The sequence below is a fragment of the Homo sapiens genome, chromosome 3 (genome assembly GCF_000001405.40).
Source record: "Homo sapiens chromosome 3, GRCh38.p14 Primary Assembly".
In the NCBI taxonomy this organism is placed as follows: Eukaryota; Metazoa; Chordata; class Mammalia; order Primates; family Hominidae; genus Homo; species Homo sapiens.
In genome coordinates, this window is record NC_000003.12 from 124,796,382 (window position 1) to 124,814,826 (window position 18,445).

The 18,445-nt window shown below is 47.9% G+C and overlaps 1 protein-coding gene across 10 annotated transcripts in view, besides 1 other annotated feature; it reads right to left on the minus strand.

The window, feature by feature from the left end:
* ITGB5 (integrin subunit beta 5) overlaps window positions 1-18,445 on the minus strand; it is a 139,471-nt gene that overhangs the window by 34,434 nt on the left and 86,592 nt on the right. For 7 of the 10 annotated variants that reach the window (NM_001354764.2, NM_001354765.1, XM_005247436.4 and 4 more), the window contains 2 exons: window positions 12,641-12,775; window positions 7-436 (listed from right to left, as the gene is read on the minus strand). In NM_001354764.2, the coding sequence (NP_001341693.1) occupies window positions 7-436; window positions 12,641-12,775 (565 nt within the window). The remainder of the gene's footprint in view (window positions 1-6; window positions 437-12,640; window positions 12,776-18,445) is intronic. The other 3 variants (NM_001354766.2, XM_006713630.4, XM_047448089.1) reach the window with 1 other exon arrangement.
* Window positions 16,077-16,681: an enhancer, noted in NCBI's record as "H3K27ac-H3K4me1 hESC enhancer chr3:124531305-124531909 (GRCh37/hg19 assembly coordinates)". NCBI's record gives its function as "activates a minimal SCP1, AML or CMV promoter by ChIP-STARR-seq in naive H9 embryonic stem cells {active_cell/tissue: H9 hESC(naive)}" and the evidence as "EXISTENCE:reporter gene assay evidence [ECO:0000049][PMID:30033119]".

The window sequence follows — 18,445 nt, forward strand, 5'->3', positions numbered from 1 at the left end:
ACTTACCTGAGCAGAGGACTCCCTTGTTCCTGGCACAGGAGAAGTTGTCGCACTCACAGAAAGGCCCATAGATCTTGCCAAACTCGCTCTCGAAGCAGGAGCACTGGTTGCAGCTGCAGTCCCCACGCCCGCTGCACAGTGGCTTGCCCTCTGCCTCCCGGCACAGGTTCTGGTACACGCTCTGGTTCTCCCCATCCTGGCACTCGCACCTGGTGCCCAGGTAGCCGGGGCTGCACTCACACAGGCCGCAGACATAGGTCCCGCTCCCGTTGCACCTGGCGCTGTTGGGTTCCAGCCCCACGCTGCAGCCGCACGTGCAGTTGTAGGTGACCCCCACCTCCAGGCTGTCCCGGAATCCCACCGGCCGCAGGGCAAACACATGCTCCGTGTGTCTGCTGGGACAGCTTCGGGCCTCCAATGATACTTCAAAAGATGCCTGGGCAGAAGGAAGAGAAGGGATATCATGGCTGCGGCAAGCCAGGGTCTCCCATTCACCCAGGGGCAGGGCCCTTGATGAAGAGCAGCTGCGAACTCCAGCCCTCTCCACGCACTCAGGTAGAACCACCAAGATGGCCGGAGTAGGAAGAGACCTCAGAACCAGCAAGCTCCCATGCTTCATGGAGAAGAGAATGCACAGGTGAGCTCACATTTGACAGGTGAATTCTTTAACATTCATTATCTCTTTGCATCCCCATGACCCTGAGGAAATGGGCCCCTGCGGAAAGCTATAGGGCTTCCTTGAGTTCACACAGTTCTTATTCTCCCTTTCTTTTCTCTTCTGTCCTATCCTCTTCCCAGCCCCGCTGCAGATGCCTCTTCTCTGCTCACTTAAAAAGTCATTTGGTGGAAAAACATTTCCTGGGCGCTGCCTCTGTGCCAGGCACAATGGCACTCTCACAGGGTGCCGGGTGAAGGGCACCCACCTGGCCCGCCATAGAGAGGGCTCTGTGCCTGCTGGCAAAGGGCTCAGCTGACTCCAGAGCTTGCTCTCCAGACACCCCCGAGTCCCCCGTGCCCCAATTCCTCCTCTGTGAGTGCTTGTCATAGCTGCATCTTTCACAATCCCCCCATGCCCCTGAGGTCTTAAAGAAGAGTCTCCAACTGATGAAATGCACCATGCACATGGACAGACCTTTTCTTTTTAAACAGAATATGTAAGGAAGTGTTTCTCACTCAGGAGCTTCTCACAGATTGCCTTGAAAACAGGCTCAAGGTGGGCCTGGATGGGTGGCAGATGGTGCGGGAGGGATGCCTGTCAGCTGCCCACAGGGCTGGGATGGAAGGAAAGCAAGAATGAGGCTTGGTCTGATTCAGGAACTAGAGCCTGACTCCCCCACCCTCTCCTCCTCACCCCCCTGAGGAGAGCCATGTGGGGTCTGAATCACCCATCAGGGCCCTGAGAGCAAGTCACTGTGGATTCTATGAAAACGCACAGACAGGTGGCCAGTGTGCCCTGATGAAATGCCGTTGTAAAGTTTTACTCAGGGGTGGGTTCTCCCTTACTCCCTGAACAGACAGAGGCCCGGCCCACCCCACAAACAGACTCACTGGATCTGGGTCCAAATGTCTTTATTTTTCAAAAGGCTCCTCAGATCATTCTGAAGCTCAGAATGGGTTAAAAACCACTTTCAGCTATTACTATTCTTAATTCTATTCTTTCGGCTAGAATAAAGCTTTTTTTTTTTTTTTTGAGGTGGAGTCTCGCTCTGTTGCCAGGCTGGAGTGCGGTGGCATGCACTCAGCTCACTGCAATCTCCACCTCCCGGGTTCAAGCCATTCTCCTGCCTCAGCCTCCAGAGTAGCTGGGATTACAGGTGCGCGCCACCACACGCAGCTAATTTTTGTATTTTTAGTAGAGATGGGGTTTCACCATGTTGGCCAGGATGGTCTCCATCTCCTGACCTCGTGATCTGCCCACTTCGGCCTCCCAAAGTGCTGGGATTACAGGTGTGAGCTACTGCGCCCAGTCATTAAAGCTAATTTTTAAAATGTCATCATTCACTTGATTTACTGGACAATCTTCAGGTAACAATGTTTTTGTTGTTGTTGTTGTTGTTTGAGACAGAGTCTCTCTGTCACCCAGGCTGGAGTGCAGTGGCACCATCTCGGCTCACTGCAGCCTCTGCCTCCCAGGTGCAAGCGATTTTCCCATCTCAGCCTCTCAAATAGCTGGGATTACAGGTGCCTGTCACCATGCCTGGCTAATTTTTGTAGTTTTGGTAGAGACGGAGATGGGGTTTCACTGTGTTGGCCAGGCTGGTCTCAAACTGCTGACCTGAAGTGATCCACCCGCCTTGGCTTCCCAAAATGTTGGGATTACAGGCGTGAGCCACTGCGCCCGGCCCACGATGTTCATTTTTTGAGAACATTATAAATATCTGTTTCTAAACATACAGATCCCTATTACTTTGAGATTTTTACTGGTTCTAAAAGGCCTCCCCTCAGATGCTGTGACATCTAGGGACACGGGGAGAGGGGAGAGGGTATGGGACTGAGCAGGAGGATAGATCCTGCTCTATAAGTCCTGCAGAAAGTCCTGCGTGGCAGCAAACTGCTGTTTCAAAGGACTTGACAACAGACACCCAGGACTCAGCATTAGCCAAGAGGCTCAACAGGAGAGGCTTCTGGATAGGTGAGCTGAGGATAGCTAGGGGAGCAGGATCAGAAGACACTCGGGGGACCAGGCCAGCTGCAGACAGCTTGGGCTAGCTCCACCTTACCTTCCATCTCTGTGGGGTAGGAAGAGTAGGAAGAGACAAAGGGGAGAGATTGACAAAAACAACTCCAAGGCTAAGTTCCAAGGTCTCGAGGTACAGGGAGTCTCTCAAGGTGAGTAAAGATTCAATCCACTTGGACACTGAAATTGGTTAAAGGATAACACGAATAGGATGGGCGTAGTGGCTCACACCTGTAATTCCAGCCCTTTGGGAGGCTGAGGTGGGCAGACTGGGAGGATCACTTGAGGCCAGGAGTTCGAGACCAACCTGGACAACATGGCAAAACCCCATCTCTACCAAAAGTACAAAAAATTAGCCGGGCATTTTGGCACATGCCAGTGGTCCCAGCTACTCAGAAGGCTGAGGTGGGAGGATGGCTTGAGCCCGGGAGGGGGAGGTTGCAGTGAGCCGTGATCGTGTCACTGCACTCCAGCCTGGACGACAGAGTGAGATCTTGTCTCAAAAAGAAAAAAAAAGCAAAACAAAACACTAATAATTATTAGTTGCCAAGTGCCTACTATGTACCAGGCACTGTGCTGGACTTTTCCACAAGCATCTCTTTTAAATGCCCTAGAAGGAAGTGTCCTCATTTTACCAGAGAGAAAACAGGGTTGGCGGGGTTGGTGGATTTAGTCATGCTCACACAGCTGATGAGTGGGGCCAGGCCTAGAGCAGGGCCCGCGCTCTCCTTAGCATATCCACCTCCTAGACGGGGGAATGAGGTCTACCTCATCGGGGTGCGCAGGGAGAGCCAGCCTGGCTTACTAAAGGGACCCCTTGATGGTGATCCCCAAAGTGGTGGCCAGAGGCATCTCCACATCTTTCTGCCGTGGGCTGGGAACGATTTGAGCCTGCAGATAGGATAAGAGTGGGGACTATGCCTGCCCGAAGCCACCCGTGGGGCCATCAAGAATGCAGAGGTGAATGGAGCTTTGAGGGGCAGATGCCATCCCTCCCTTCTGAGGCCCAGAGAGAAACTTGCTTGCATCTCCTATTACTATTTGCTTGAAGCTCCCACAACAGTGACATGCTTGAAGCTACCTGTAGCTTGCTTCAAGTTACAGCTGAAACCCTGTACTTCTAGGGCTACAACTTGCTGGACTTGTGCTCCACAGAGGCATCTGCGGGTCAGAAACTGAATAAACTACAGAGGAATGACCTGGACCAAGAGCCAAAGGCATTTAATTATTGAAAGACTGTGGGGAGTACACACCTGTGAGTATAACCTTGTCTCATGGAAACTTGCCTGCCTTGGGGTTAAAGCAATGAAAGTGAGAGTTAAGTCTCCAGAATCTTGCTGATGTGTCTGGGAGAAAGTGGGAGGTTAGGGCACCCCTAAAGTTCTGGCACTCAATCACCAGCATGTAGAAACACTTGGGCACTGTCTGCCCAGCTGGGCAAGCAAGGAGGGCCCAGCTTTCAAGCAGGTCCTGAGGCCTTCCCCAGCCAAGCCTTCGGTCCAAGTGAGGTGCTATCTGTCTGGCCCTGTGCAGCCTGGAGTGTAGCCAGATGCCTGATAACCAGAGAATGTTCTGTCTATTTCAGCCACTGGGTCTCAGCTCCTGCTGGGCACGGGAAGTGCTATAAAAAGCACTTCAGGACCAGCAAGGAAATCTGTTTGCTTACCCCTCCTTTCAGAGGGTCCATTTTCCCTACTGGATTTGGAAAGAATCCAGAAAGGCTGGAAGGCAGCTGGAATGAGGCCTCTTCGAGTCCCTCCCCTGATTCCTGAGAACTTCAACTGATACTGAAGGCTCCCCAGTTCCTGGACACTTTCCATTCATTCGCTCTGAGATTCCAGAGGAAGGTCACAGACACAGCAGCCCTCCCACTCGGTCTTGTTATTAGAACTTCATTGGGATTCTCCTGGTTCCCCTGTGGAGCTGACTGGCCTGATGCACCCTTTCAAAAGGGCTGCCCAGCCCCCACCCTGAACCCACCAAATCCAGGGCTATCCTATGCAGATGCCAAGTCTGCTCAGATCTCAACAAAAAAGGAGCTGGGATGGGCACAGGCTACAGAGTCCCGAGGAGTGGACGGGAGCGGGGAGGGGGTGCTGTGGGAAGCCCATGACGGGGTTCACTGGCTGCTTTGTGCTGGGCGTCTGTGCTAGCCTCACAGCCAGCCACTTGCATACTGATTTGTTGAAGCCAGTTCCTGAGTAAACTGACTCCCGATGGTTGGTGTAGGATAAAGGGAGGAAAATTAGGGAAACAATTGAAATCACTGGGAAAGAGAATCTCACTGGATTTGGGGCTTTCAAGGTTTGATTTAAGCCGTATTTCTCTTTGAGGACATCCCTGCCCCTCAGCCCCTGCCCTGCCACCTCTCCTGCTTCTTGCTAGACATCTGTCTTGACCCAGAGCACACAGGGTTGTCACAGAACCACAGCCTGCACCTCTTCCACCTCTGCAGGAAGCTGTGATAATGAGGAGGCGAGGTCCATCTGGCTGCCCCTCATACGGGCCGTGTCCTTGTCCACAGGCCAGACCCTGAGATCCCTGATGACACCTGAACTGTGTCTGCTTTTCCTAATCCCTCTTCTCCAGGGGAGTCCCCAGACCCTCCAGCTATGCTTGATACTCTTGTCTACCCCCACCACCATTCCCTGACTTGCCCATAGCCCTCCCAACTCCTGCCACCAAAGAATGGAACCCACTTGCCAAACAATGGCCAGAATGGCCAGACCCCTTAGGTTGGCAGGTATATTTCACCACTGTGGCCCAAGCCAGCCACTCTCCCCTCCCTCCCCAGCCCACTCCTCTTGCCTCCATGGCCGTCACCATCAGCTGCTTTCCACTGGCCAAAGGATGATGCTCTTCACACCCTAGCAGACACATCTTGCCAATATGCACATGGGAGGCCCACTGATGGGACCAGCCCACCCCGGCTTTCTCTGTCTGGGAAACTCCTACTGGTGCTCTGAGCCTCAGCTCCAACAGCTCCCTCTGCAGTGCTGGGCCCTTCTTCCTTGGGCTCCTGCAGTGCCACACCTGGCTTTCCCACAGCACTCATCACCCTCTACGGGGCTGACTCCTCTGCATGTTATTTCCTCCACCAGACTCTGAGCCCCTGATCTGTGGCCTCATTTGTCCATCTTGAGTGAGCACGGGATTTGGTACATAAACACTTACTGAGTACGAGTGGATGTCAGCACAGTCACTGGCAAGTTCTGAAATGTATGGCTTGGGGACACACGTCCAGAGGGAAATACTCACACACTCAGTAGCACCCCTGCTTGCCAAAGCCCAACTGTCAATGCTTTGGAGACAGTTCAGCCTGAGAGAAGGGATGGAAAGTTTGCCTTCTTGGGCCAGGGTTAAGAAAACCAGACTGGTCCCAGCTGTAAGTGCACCCCTTCTGTCTTGGGGATCAGAGGAACTGACAGACCCCTCTCCTTCAACGAAGAGGGAAAGCCCCTCAACTCCCCGTGCCAGGGCCGGCTCCCTGGTGTATGCCTGTGCAGTCACAAGGGCCCCCACTCAGAAGGGCCCACGCTTACTCTAATGCTCTGTGGTTGCTGTGTTGGAATTCTTAATGATTTTTGAACATGGACCCCATATTTTCATTTTGCACTGGGACCTACAAATGATGGAGCCAGTTCTGCCCCCGATGGCCTCCAAGGCCCTCAAGAGAGCTGCCTCTCCTGGCCTGCATGGCCTGGTGTGGCTCTTGTGAACAGAATCATGTCTGGCTCTGAAGAGCAGAGTGGCCACTGCCCTGTGCCAGCCTGTCTTCATCCACAGAAAACAAAAACCCCACAGCCCTCGCAGTGGAGTCAGGGGCCATGTGACCATGGCCCTCGGACAGCAAGACAACAACACTGGGACAGTGAGTAGAAACAAAGGGCCAGCTCGGGTCAGTTGCCTAGGACCCCTGCTGTTCCCACAGGGCTGCGGCCCATCCAATCCCACAGGAAGAGCTGTCAAAGGTGCCGGCCTGAGCAGAAGTTCCCCTCCTCTTTAGTGTCGCTTCGAATGCTCTAAAAACCACTTCAATACCTCTGAGATTTTCAGAGCATTTGAAAAATCATGTAAAATCTTTTTCAAGTTCTGGACAATTTCCCCATTTTTCTGAGGTATCCCAGCAAAAATCAAAATCTGTACACTAGGGTGTCCATCCATAAGTGGCCATGACACCACTGTATGCTTCCTAAAAGCTGTTACTCCCCAAAGTGTGTGGGAAACGCATGCACTGTGGCCTCGGAAGCAGCCCCCAACTTGGCTCCCGATGCTTGAGGCTTCTGGCACGCTTCTCAGGCCCCACTTTGAGTCTCAGTTTTTCATACATAAAATGGCGAAGGAACAGCTCCCTTATAAAGCTGCTGTAAGAGGCAGACAGCAGCAGTAATGCCCCCACCACAGTAAGGGGCACGTTGGACACGGCACATTGGATGTCCCCATTCCATGCAAACAAATACAATTTGCTCTGTAATGGGGAGGCAGTGATGAGCGAGATGACCTGGTGTGGAGGGGGAACGGCCTTGGTTTGGCTTGTGAGTTCACTGTCTCTTAGCTGGGTGAGCTGGGGCAAGTCACGCTCATCCTCAAATCCCAGGCTGCCTGTCAGCAGTGCGCGAGCGCTGGGCTCCCCACATGGTGCAGGGGGGCTCAGTCAGCGGCACTCTCCCGTGGAGGCTCCTGTTCCTCAGGATTGTACTTTGTGCTGGTAGAGTCCTTTGAAATAGGTTTGGTAGAATAGAATCGTGGGCACCAAGAAGCCGGATAAAGGTGGTGAGGGAGCTGGCTTCAGAACAGAAAGCCCTGGCTTTGAATTTTCATGTCGACACTTCAGGCTATGTACCTGTATGCTTTGTGCCTCAGTCTTCCCCATCTGTCAGCATGAAAAACAATGTCTTCCTCACAGGCAATTAGTGACCACAGACCACTCATTGTCTAGGTTGTTTCTGGTCCTTCCCAAGACTAACTGTATTCCTGCTTTCCATAAGGAACCCCAATATATTTAGAATGACTCTCCTTTTCACTTTGGGCAGCATAAAGTGGCTTCAGTTTTTTTTGCATCTGGAAAGAGTTCTGACTTTACAATCTTTCTGCTGACAAACATTAGTTCCTTTGACCTTTCTAGCTTCTAAACAATTCATCATGATAGTTGCTTGTCACTTTTCTTTTTCAAAAAAGAACCGGGCTGGGCACAGTGGCTCATGCCTGTAGTCCCAGTAGTTTGGGAGGTCGAGGCAGGAGGATCACTTGAGGCCAGGAGTTCAAAACCATTCTGGGCAACATAGCAAGACTCTGTTTCTTAAAAAACAAAACAAAACAAAAAAAACAACCACAAAGAAATTAGCTGGGCATGGTGGTGCAGGTCTGTGGTCCCAGCTACTTGGGAGGCTGAGGCGGGAGGATTGCCTGAGCCTTGGAGTTAGAGGTTACAGTCCACTATGATCAAGCCACTGTACTGCAGCCTGGTAACAAGAGCAAGACCCTGTCTCTAAAAATAAAATAAAATAAAATAAAATAAAGAACAAAATACAGAACTCCAGGTGTGAGGTTTCAAAATATCTCTATTAAACACAGCTTCAACTGGCATTACTTTTTATTCACTTATCTTTTTTGTTTGTTTGTTTTTGAGAAGGAGTCTTGTTCTGTCACCCAGGCTAGAGTGCAGTGGTGCAATCTTGGCTCACTGCAACCTCTGCCTTCCAGGTTTGAGCGATTCTCCTGCCTCAGCCTCCTGAGTAGCTGGGAATACAGGTGCACATCACCACGCCCCGCTAATTTTTGTATTTTTAGTAGAGACAGGGTTTCACCATGTTGGCCAGGTTGGTCTCGAACTCCTGACCTCAGGTGATCCACCCGTCTCAGCCTCCCAAAGTGCTGGAATTACAGGCGTGAGCCACCGTGCCCGCCTTTCTTTCTTTCCTTCCTTCCTTCCTTCTTTCTTTTTCTTTCTTCTTCCTTCCTTCCTTTCTTTTGCCCTGCCCTGCCCTGCCCTCCCTCCCTGCCCTGCCCTGCCCTTCCTTTCCGTTTCTTTCTTTCTCTCTCTCTCTCTCCTTCCTTTCCCTTCCTTTCTCCCTTTCTCTCTCTCTCTCTCTTTCTTTCTTTCTGACAGGGTCTCACTCTGTCACCCAGGCTGGAGTGCAGTGTCCCAGTCATGGCTCACTGCAGCCTCAACTTCTCACACTCCAGCGATCCTCCCACCTCAGCTTCTCAACTAGGTGGGACCACAGGTGCTCTCCACCACGCCCAGATGATTTTTGTATTTTTGGGGGAGACTGGGTTTTGCCATGTTGCCCAGGCTGGTCTCGAACTCCTGAGCTCAAGCAATTAACAAGTCTCAGTCTCCCAAAATGCTAGGATTATAGGTGTGAGTCACTGTGCCTAGCCATTACTGCCATTACTTTTTTTTTTTAAGAGACGAGGTCTCACTCTGTTATCTATGCTAGAATACAGTGGTGTGATCATAGCTCACTGCTGCCTTGAACTTCTAGGCTTAAGCCATCCTCTGGCCTCAGCCTCCTGAGCAGCTGGGACCACAGGTGTGCGCTACCATGCCCGGCTAATTTTTTATTTTCTGTAGAGATGGGGGTCTCATTTCATTGTCCAGGCTGGTTTTAAACTCCTGGCTTCAAGTGATCCTCCCGCCTTGAGTTCCCAAAGTATTGAGATTACAGGCATGAGCCACTGCGCCTGGCGGACTTTTTTTTTTTAATCACTGTTTATTTGCATTGAGCCTTTGAGCCATTATAGTCTGCCAGATGTTTTTCTTTTACTATCAAACCAAGTTTCCTATATCCTAGTAACATTCTGAACTAAAACATAAGACATTAATCTTCATGATTTCAATCCATCTCAATTTCGAAAAATATTTTTAAATCTTGGCTTTCCTGCTTTATAACATAAGCTGTTTTCTCCAGCTCTGCAGCCTTCCCACATTTGATAAGGTCTCCTATGAGTTCAACCCAAGCCAATGATAAACACAACAGACAAGAGACATTGGAACCTCAGTCAAGTCCTCCCTCTGGCTGCATTATCAACACTCTCAGAAAACATGTTCACCCAGCTACAAATCCGCATGACTGTGCTGTTGTCAACCCATATTATTAAATATTTGCCTTATTTATAAGGATGTCATTAGAAATTGTCAAGAGCCTTCCTGAAACCTGGCGTATGCTAGATTAGACAGTCCATCCCTCTCCCATCTCTTTTCCATCATACCTATTTCTCCAAGTAAAGGGTTCCTTGTTTGGGTATATTTCCCACATTATCCTTCAGCTTTCCTGACATGCTACACCAAACATTCCACCCACAGATCTATAGAATTCACTTACATGTTGTTGGGGTTTTTTGGTATTTCTGCCTCATTCCATTTTTTTTTTTTTTTTTTTTTTTTTTTGAGACTGAGTCTCACTCTGTCGCCCAGGCTGGAGTGCAGTGGCGCGATCTCGGCTCACTGCAAGCTCCGCCTCCCGGGTTCATGCCATTCTCCTGCCTCAGCCTCCCGAGTAGCTGGGACTACAGGTACCCGCCATCACTCCCAGCTAATTTTTTTTTGTATTTTTTAGTAGAGACGGGGTTTCACCGTGTTAGCCAGGATGGTCTCGATCTCCTAACTTCATGATCCACCCGCCTAGGCCTTCCAAAGTGCTGGGATTACAGGTGTAAGCCACTGCGCCTGGCCTCATTCCATTTTTTATAACTATCTCTTTAAATCCTGTCCTGTCACTGTAAAGCATTAGTGTTTTTTTTTTTAATCATCTGGATTGAGCAATCATTATAATGGATGAAAACAACATAAATACATTGCAACTTCCTACAATTATTAAAAATAAACAGTAAAATGTTATTGGAAGTACCTCTTTAATGAGATGAGGCTTTCCCCCCGATGTAAAATAATATTAATTATTGCTAAACAAGACAGGGATCCACATCAATTATATTTCTATTTTTCATTTGTAGAGATTTAAGCACAAAAAAAGTTCACATAAATAGGAAGATGGGAACAAGAGTTTTGTAACAGCAATGTCACCTTGTTCTATGAATGTCTTCTGAGTTAAAAGCCATAAATAATCATTTGTGGGCAGGCATGGTGGCTCACACCTATAATGCCAGCACTTTGGGAGGCTGCAGTGGAAGGATCCCTTGAGCCCAGAAGTTCAAGACCAGCCTGAGCAACATGGTGAAACTCCGTCTCTACTAAAAATACATAAATTAGCCAGGTGTGGTGGTGCATGCCTATAATCCCAGCTACTTGGGAGGCGGAGGCATGAGAATCGTTCGAACCTGGGAAGCGGAGGTTGCAGTGAGCCGAGATCGTGCCACGGCACTCCAGCCTGGGTGACAGAGCAAGACTCTCTCTCCAAATAAATAAATAAATAAATAAATTATCATTTGTAATGACTTATCATCAGACAGCTTGATTAGGCCTTCTTTCAATCTTGTTAAAAGCAAAAGAAACTTGGAAACAACGTGTCTTAGAAAAGGCCTTGGTAGCCAGTCATAAGAGGCTTTCATTTTCTCAACTTCCATATGATATTTTGAACTGTCCCTTTATTTGGGGGAGCGAGGCACTGCAGAAAGATTTGAGAAGGGTAAGAGGTATGTCTGTGGCTGGGCACGGTGGCTCATGCCTGTAATCCCAGCACTTTCGGAGGCCGAGGCGGGTGGATCATGAGGTCAGGAGATCGAGACCATCCTGGCTACCATGGTGAAACCCCGTCTCTACTAAAAATACAAAAAAATTAGCCGGGCTGGCGGGCGCCTGTAGTCCCAGCTACTCAGGAGGCTGAGGCAGGAGAATGGCGTGAACCCGGGAGGCAGAGCTTGCAGTGAGCCGAGATCGTGCCACTGCACTCCAGCCTGGGCGACAGAGCGAGACTTCATCTCAAAAAAAAAAAAAAAAAAAAAAAAAAAAAAAAAAAAAAAGAGGTATGTCTGTGTGTTGTGAAGTGGGTGAGGGACAAGTGTGAAGGCAGGGATGGGAGAGGATCTACAGTGGAATATGGAGAAACCCGAGGAGACCACTGCTACCAGCCACGAGACTGTCCCTGTCTCCGCAAGCTCTTTCCCTGAAGCCAGGGGGATGAGTCAGCTTATATCCGCCTTGGCCGTCATGAGTGCTATGAATGCCAAGAGGATATAGCCACCTATTTGTAAGGTCTCTATAATTTTTTTGTTTCTAACTAGATTCTTTTAAGTGTAGAAGAGAATTATCCCTCACTGGCTTTCTGTTTTCTGAGCACTGGACCTGTCAACAAAGCAAGTCAGGAATGGAGCTCATGATCTGCTTCTAGCAGCAGGACCTCCAGAAGATGTGTGGCTAGCTCTCCATCACCACTCGCGGCCTCTGTGCCCGTGTCTGTGTCTGTGTTCTTGTTGCCCACATATCCTCCTCCCTGCTCCCTCACGCAAGTCCTTGGTTTAGCGCAGAGGCACACATCTTCACACATCATTTGAATAAACTTAATCTGGACAAGGCATCTGTGTCCTCCACTGCTGTAGAGTCATCCATTCTATTTCACCAAAACAGAATGGGGGGAGTGGCTTTCTTTACATTTCACAGAACGGAAAAGTGAGGGTCAGATTATCCAAGGAACAGAGCTATTTGCAGAAGACTAGGAATGAAAGACAGGTCTCCTGGATTCCTACCTGTACTCTTTCTCCTGATTACAACTGTGTCAAGCTAAGAGGATAATGGTTTAAAACACCAAAGTCACGATGCCAACTTAAGAAAGCCTCAGGTAGCAATGCGCTGAGGGCTGTCTATTGACTGGGCTCTTTAACAAGTTCACCTGAGACTCTGAACACATCATGCAAAACAGGCTTAGGAGACTCCTCTGGGATGCTGAATTGGAAAACAGAATATAAATTCCGAAAGGACTCTTAATAAGTCACAAAAGTTATTAGAACCCAAAGACTGATGACCAATGCTAACAAGAGTTCATACAAACTTGGGGTGAGACTTACCGTGTCCCCAATCTTCAGACCCTCACACTTCCTCTGACCAGGATAGGATACCCCATCTTGGCAGGTAGCAGTAAAGAAGAGATTAAGATCCTCAGGCTGATCCCAGACTGACAACTCCACTTTAGACCGGATACTCTGAATGGAGAGAGAAAATGAAGCCCAACCATTTAATAAAGGCTGTGGCTGAGGTGCTCCCACACTGGTTTTCTGAGGCCCACGTGGCTTCCTCTAACTCAGGAATCCCAAGCCAAAGGAAGAGCCAGTGAGCTTGGTTCCCTGGCCCTCCCTCATCCTTTCCCTTCTCTCTGCACTCACACAACATCTTGCTAGACCCAGCCTGAGGTCTCCCTCTGTGAGTTTGGAGAAGTTGATAGTGGTTGACCTGCCATATGATATTATCTGCTTCAAACGGGTTATGCCCCATCCCCTGCTTGCTTCTCCAGAGCCACCTCTCATCCCCATCCTCGGCTTCAGACACGCAGTTCCTCAATCTTGCAGTGTGTACTCCAGGCTTTGAGCCTTTCCATGTGCCCAGGGCAATGATCCTTTGCACAATGGCTCCTCTCTCTCCTCCTCCTGGCTGGCTCCTTATCATCCTTCAAAATCAGCTCAGCAGGCACTTTCTCCAGGAATACACCCTGTCATTCACATCCATACCTATCCCCATCAGATGAGGTCCATATGCCTGAGTTTGAAACTACATAATGAGAGACTCCAATCTTATGTGTGGATTATATTCTTAAGACAGTGAATCAAACAAAAATCAAGTCAAAATTACCTATCAGAATAGAAAAAAAGTAAAGTTTTTTTCTATTATTTCCCAACACTAAGAACATCAAGTGTTGGGAAAGGATGTAGAGCAACTAGGGCTCCCCAACCCTGCTGGTGGGAGTGAAAATTCGTGCAATCCTATAGAAAGCCATTAGGCTATATCTACTAAAGCTTAGGCCAACCTCAGACCTAGCATTCACCCAGGATTATATCCAACAGAAGTGTATGCGTCACCAAAAAGACATGGACAAGAATGTTTACAGCAATACTGCTTGTAATAGCTAGAAACTGGAAATTCCTCAGGTGCCTAGCAAGAGTAGAATGGATTTTTTAAAATTGTAGTATGTTCATATAGTGGAATACCATACAGTAATGAGAAATAATAAAATATGACTACATGTAATAATATGGATAAATCTGACAAATATAACATTACTAGAAAGAAGGCAGAGACAAAGGCATATATATTGTATAACTCTATTTATATGAAATTCAAAAACAGGCAAAATTAATGGTTGCCCTTGAGGGATTGCGATGGAAGAGGGCAGAATAGGGACTTCTGGGCCTGGCTAATGTTCTGTGTGTTTGGCCTTGGTGCTGGATACTCAGGTTTATTTAATTTGTGAAAAGTGTGTGAAATTTTCTATACGTCTGTTAGTTTAAAAAATTGTCCTTGTGACACATGCCTGTAGCTACTCAGGGGGCTGAGGCAGGAGGATCGCTTGAGCCCAGGAGTTCAAGGCTGCAATGAGCTATGATCATGCCAGTGCACTCCAGCCTGGGAGACAGAGTGAGATTGTTTCTTAAAAAAATTAAGAATAATAATAATAATAATAATAATTTCTTTGAAAATCTCTAAGGAAGATTCCACTTTGGAGACTGAGGCCAAATGAAGTAAGTAGCTTTTATTCAGAGGTCATATTTTACCAGAAAATTTAAAACAACTGTCTGTTTATACACTCAACACAGAGTATAGCATGATGTACCCATATGAGAGACAAGGACCCCAACATCCGCAGACGGCCCTGCGGATTCCCTCTCCCTCCTCGGGTACACTCTAGGGAGTGTGGCTGTTGGAGAGAACAGCAGACAGACTTGCCTCTTGCTCTTGTGGGTTTTCTTTCTTTCTTTCTTTCTTTCTTTCTCTTTTTTGCTGAGCATATAGTGCTAAAGTTGAATAAGTGAAATATGTAGTTTTCCAGCAAATTAACAGCTTGTTGAAAATACTTTCTGTAAAAAATAGTCTCTCCCTTTGCAACAAATTATCTAAGTGCTTCTACAACTCTAAAAATATGATCCGTCTTAAATCCACTTCCCTTTGCAACTTGCCAGCCTTAACTGGCCAAGGGTCACAAAAGCGCCACTCAATACACAGAGCACTCTCCTGCTGCCTGTGATTAGCTATTTGCAGATCTGTCTTCCCTACCATGTTGTGAAGTCCAAGGGCTGTATCATAGATCTCTCTGTGACTTAGTACAATCTGTCGTTGAATGAATAAACGCATGGATGGGTAGACAGATGAATGATTTAACAGCTATGCTAAGGTCTCAGGCCAAGTAGATGAAAATATTTCTTAAGACAAATATTAAAAAATAAATTTATAACCGTGAATAAGTAGTGGAGGAAATAAAACAGTATTGTAAAAGAGCTGAAGAGTGAAGGCATGTAAAAAAATTACTTGGGAACGATAACTTGAAATATGGGGGCCCTGTCGTTCACAAATAAAACTTTGGAAGGAAACACCAGTGCTCCCCAGCAAGATCTGCCCAAGCCGCCACTCGAAAGCCCCAAGGGAGGATCTGGGAAAAAGCAAGAGGGACTTGGACTCCTACTCTGTGAGTCAGCAACTAAGAATTAGATGGAAATGGACTCTTATGTTCTACTCAGGCCATAAGCCCCATGTTCTGATATAAAGTTTGTATTATTCCTGCTACCCACAGAGTCTCTGGAATCAGAAACTCTTAAGACATTTCAGGCAGCAGGAACCGTGGAGATGATGCAGCCCAAACCTCTCATGTATGGAAGCTGGAGGTCAGGGCAAGGAAAAGGTGGCCTGGGACCACTCTGCTGCACAGGACCGGGTGCAGGCTTTCTTGACCCACCCCAGGGCTCTTTCTAATCCCCACACCTGATATGCACTTCTTTCTTTGGAAATTGGCTCTCTGTCCACAGATAAGGTAAAAAACAAAAATAAAAAAATAAAAAGGAATTTGGCTCTGTGACTTTGGAAAGAGATCATCAGGTTGTATCGTGGTTGTAAGGGTCTCTGCCCCCAAAACTATGAGTGCTGGAGGGCAGGACTGTGTTTTGCTCACTATTTTATTTCCAAGGTGCAGCATGATCCCTGTCACACATTAGGCTGTTGGTATATATCTGTTGAATAAGTGAATGGATGGAGTCAAAGTGCAGTTCTTACACATGAAGACTTTTATGTGTGACTCCTAAAATTCCATTAACTCCTACCAGATTCGCCCCTCAAGGTGCACTCCTTAGTTCTCCAGTAGGAAACAAGATGATGTTGGGAATGTCAGAAGTGTAAAGGCTATTAAATACTCGGTCAGGTTAGGTCACATCTGCAATTGCTTTAAGTCGGGCCAGCTGTGGAGTGGGTGGGAGCAGACTTTATGGCAACAACAAAAAGAGAAACATGTGCTCTGCTAGAGAAAAATACACCACAGCTTCTGAAGTCACCCTCCACATGCAGCTCCAGTGCTTTCCAACTCATTCTGTTCGCTCCCACACTGAAAAGAGGCCTTTCTGGGTGCAACATGAGGCCAGCCCCCTCTGCACGTGTGGACCCAGGGCTCCACGGCTGAGCTCAGGAGGGGATTCTCTCACCAGCACTTATTACAGAGCAAAGCACCACATTGCCAAACTCCCTTGGGAAGACTTGGTGATTTCTCACAGTGAAGAATTTGGCACAGCAAGAAAAAATGTATAAATCCAACTTGATTTCACACTCGGAGAGATGTGTACACCAGACTTGATTCTACAAGACATGAAATTAAACATACCCTTTCCATTTTGCTCCCTCCTCAGCCTGGCCAAATACCACAGCCATTGCATCTGTTACATATGTTCCAACCCAAATCTGCTCAGAATGTCCCCACAGATGGTCTGCCAGCACTCTAGGGGAGGTAAAAGCCAACACCCACACTTAGTCATGTGTTGCATGACTCATGAAATCCAACACAAACCACTCGGACGGTGAGGTGACAAAAACACAAGCGGTCTGGAGAGAGCTGTGACTGGACTCTGGCCGGATGCGGAGCAGGTGAAAGGAGAGCAGAGCTGACGAAAACCTCTCCTGCTGCCCCGGCACACCCCACATGGACCAGGGGCCCGTGCTGGGGCTCAAAGTTGGGAAAAGTCCAAGTGCAAGGAGCTTGAAGCCCAGCCCAGCCTTTCCCGTTGGCCAGGACAGGAGCAAGTAAGATGAGTACTTGGAAGGAAAAACCCAAACTGTTTTTCCTACTCTACTCTCACACACCACTCAACACAACACTTCTGACACCAGATGTGAGGATTTTTCCCCCACACACCATGCAATTCTCTACTGGACACTGGTTGGTTATCTTCTAATTCAGCACAATTCTGACACTATCTACCTGGACATAGTGTCAGGTCCCACAGGTGAAGGGCTCAGCCCACAAGACTGCCCCCACCGCAGATGCCAATCACAAGTACTAGGTTGTCATCTATACTTCCAACTGATCGGCTATAAATTCAAATTCCCATGACCCCTCTCCTTCTTTCATCAATTTGCTAGAATGGCTCACAGAACTCAGGGACACAGTTTGTTTACACTTACCCACATATGAATAAGAGATAAAGGCTGCAGATGAACAGCTAGATGAAGAGAAACAGGGCAAGGTGTGTGAGGAGGGTGCAGAACTTCCCTGTCCTCTCTGGTGCCACTCTCCAGGAACCTGTCCCACAGCTTTCCCAAGGCCCTCCAAATCCAGGCCTTCTGGGTTTTCATGGAGGCATTGTTACATGGGCATGACTGGTCACATCTCTGGCTACTGGTGATCCACTCAACCTTCAGCCCCTCTCTACCTCCCCAGAGGTCATGGAGTGGGGCTGAAAGTTCCAACCCTCTAATCACATGGCTGGTTCCCCTGGCAACCAGCCACCATCCTGAGGCTGTCCAGGAGCACCCCCCAAGAGTCACCTCATTAGAACAAAAGATGTTCCTATTACCCAGGAAACTACAATGGTCTTGGAAACTCTGTGTCGGGAACCAGCGTTAAAGACCAAATATAATAACAAAAGATTCTCCTAGTGTCCTTATCTATAAAGGTTTTAGGGGCTTTATATTAGGAACTAGGGGCAGAGACCTATATATATATCTTATCGTACCACAGTATCACAGGTTCTAATCAACACAGGAAACCAACATACCCCTGACATGGCTTTGACCAACTGAACTTGCTTCAAATATCTTGCAGTTTTACATTTCTATATTTAATATATATATTTTAAATTTCACCTGAAGGGAGGGGTGGAAGAAGGGAATTATCAAGGGTCACTTTTTGGAGTAATGAACATGTTCAGTATCTCTATGGTGGCGACGGTTTCACAGGTGTATACCTGTGCCAACACTCATATTATACACTTTAAATCAGTACAGTTTGCTGTATGTTAATTATATGTCAATAAGGCTTTACAATTCTTTTCCAATTTAAAAAAAAAAAAAAAAGAGACAGAGTCTCACTCTGTCACCCAGGCTAGAGCACAGTGATACAATCATAGCTCACTGCAGCCTTGAACTCCCGGGCTCAGGCGATCCTCCTGCCCCAGCCTCCCAAGTAGCATGCCCAGCTAATTTTCACAAAATTTTTGGTCTCGCTATGTTGACCAAGCTGATTTCAAACTCCTGGCCTCAAGTGATCCTCCCAGCTTAGCCTCCCAAAGCACCGGAATTACAGGTGTGAGCCACCACGCCTGGTCATAATCACTCATTTTTAAAAGTGCTGAGTTTCAAAGTTCATTCATAAGTCATCAGCTTCATTTCACAACATGTTTACTTAC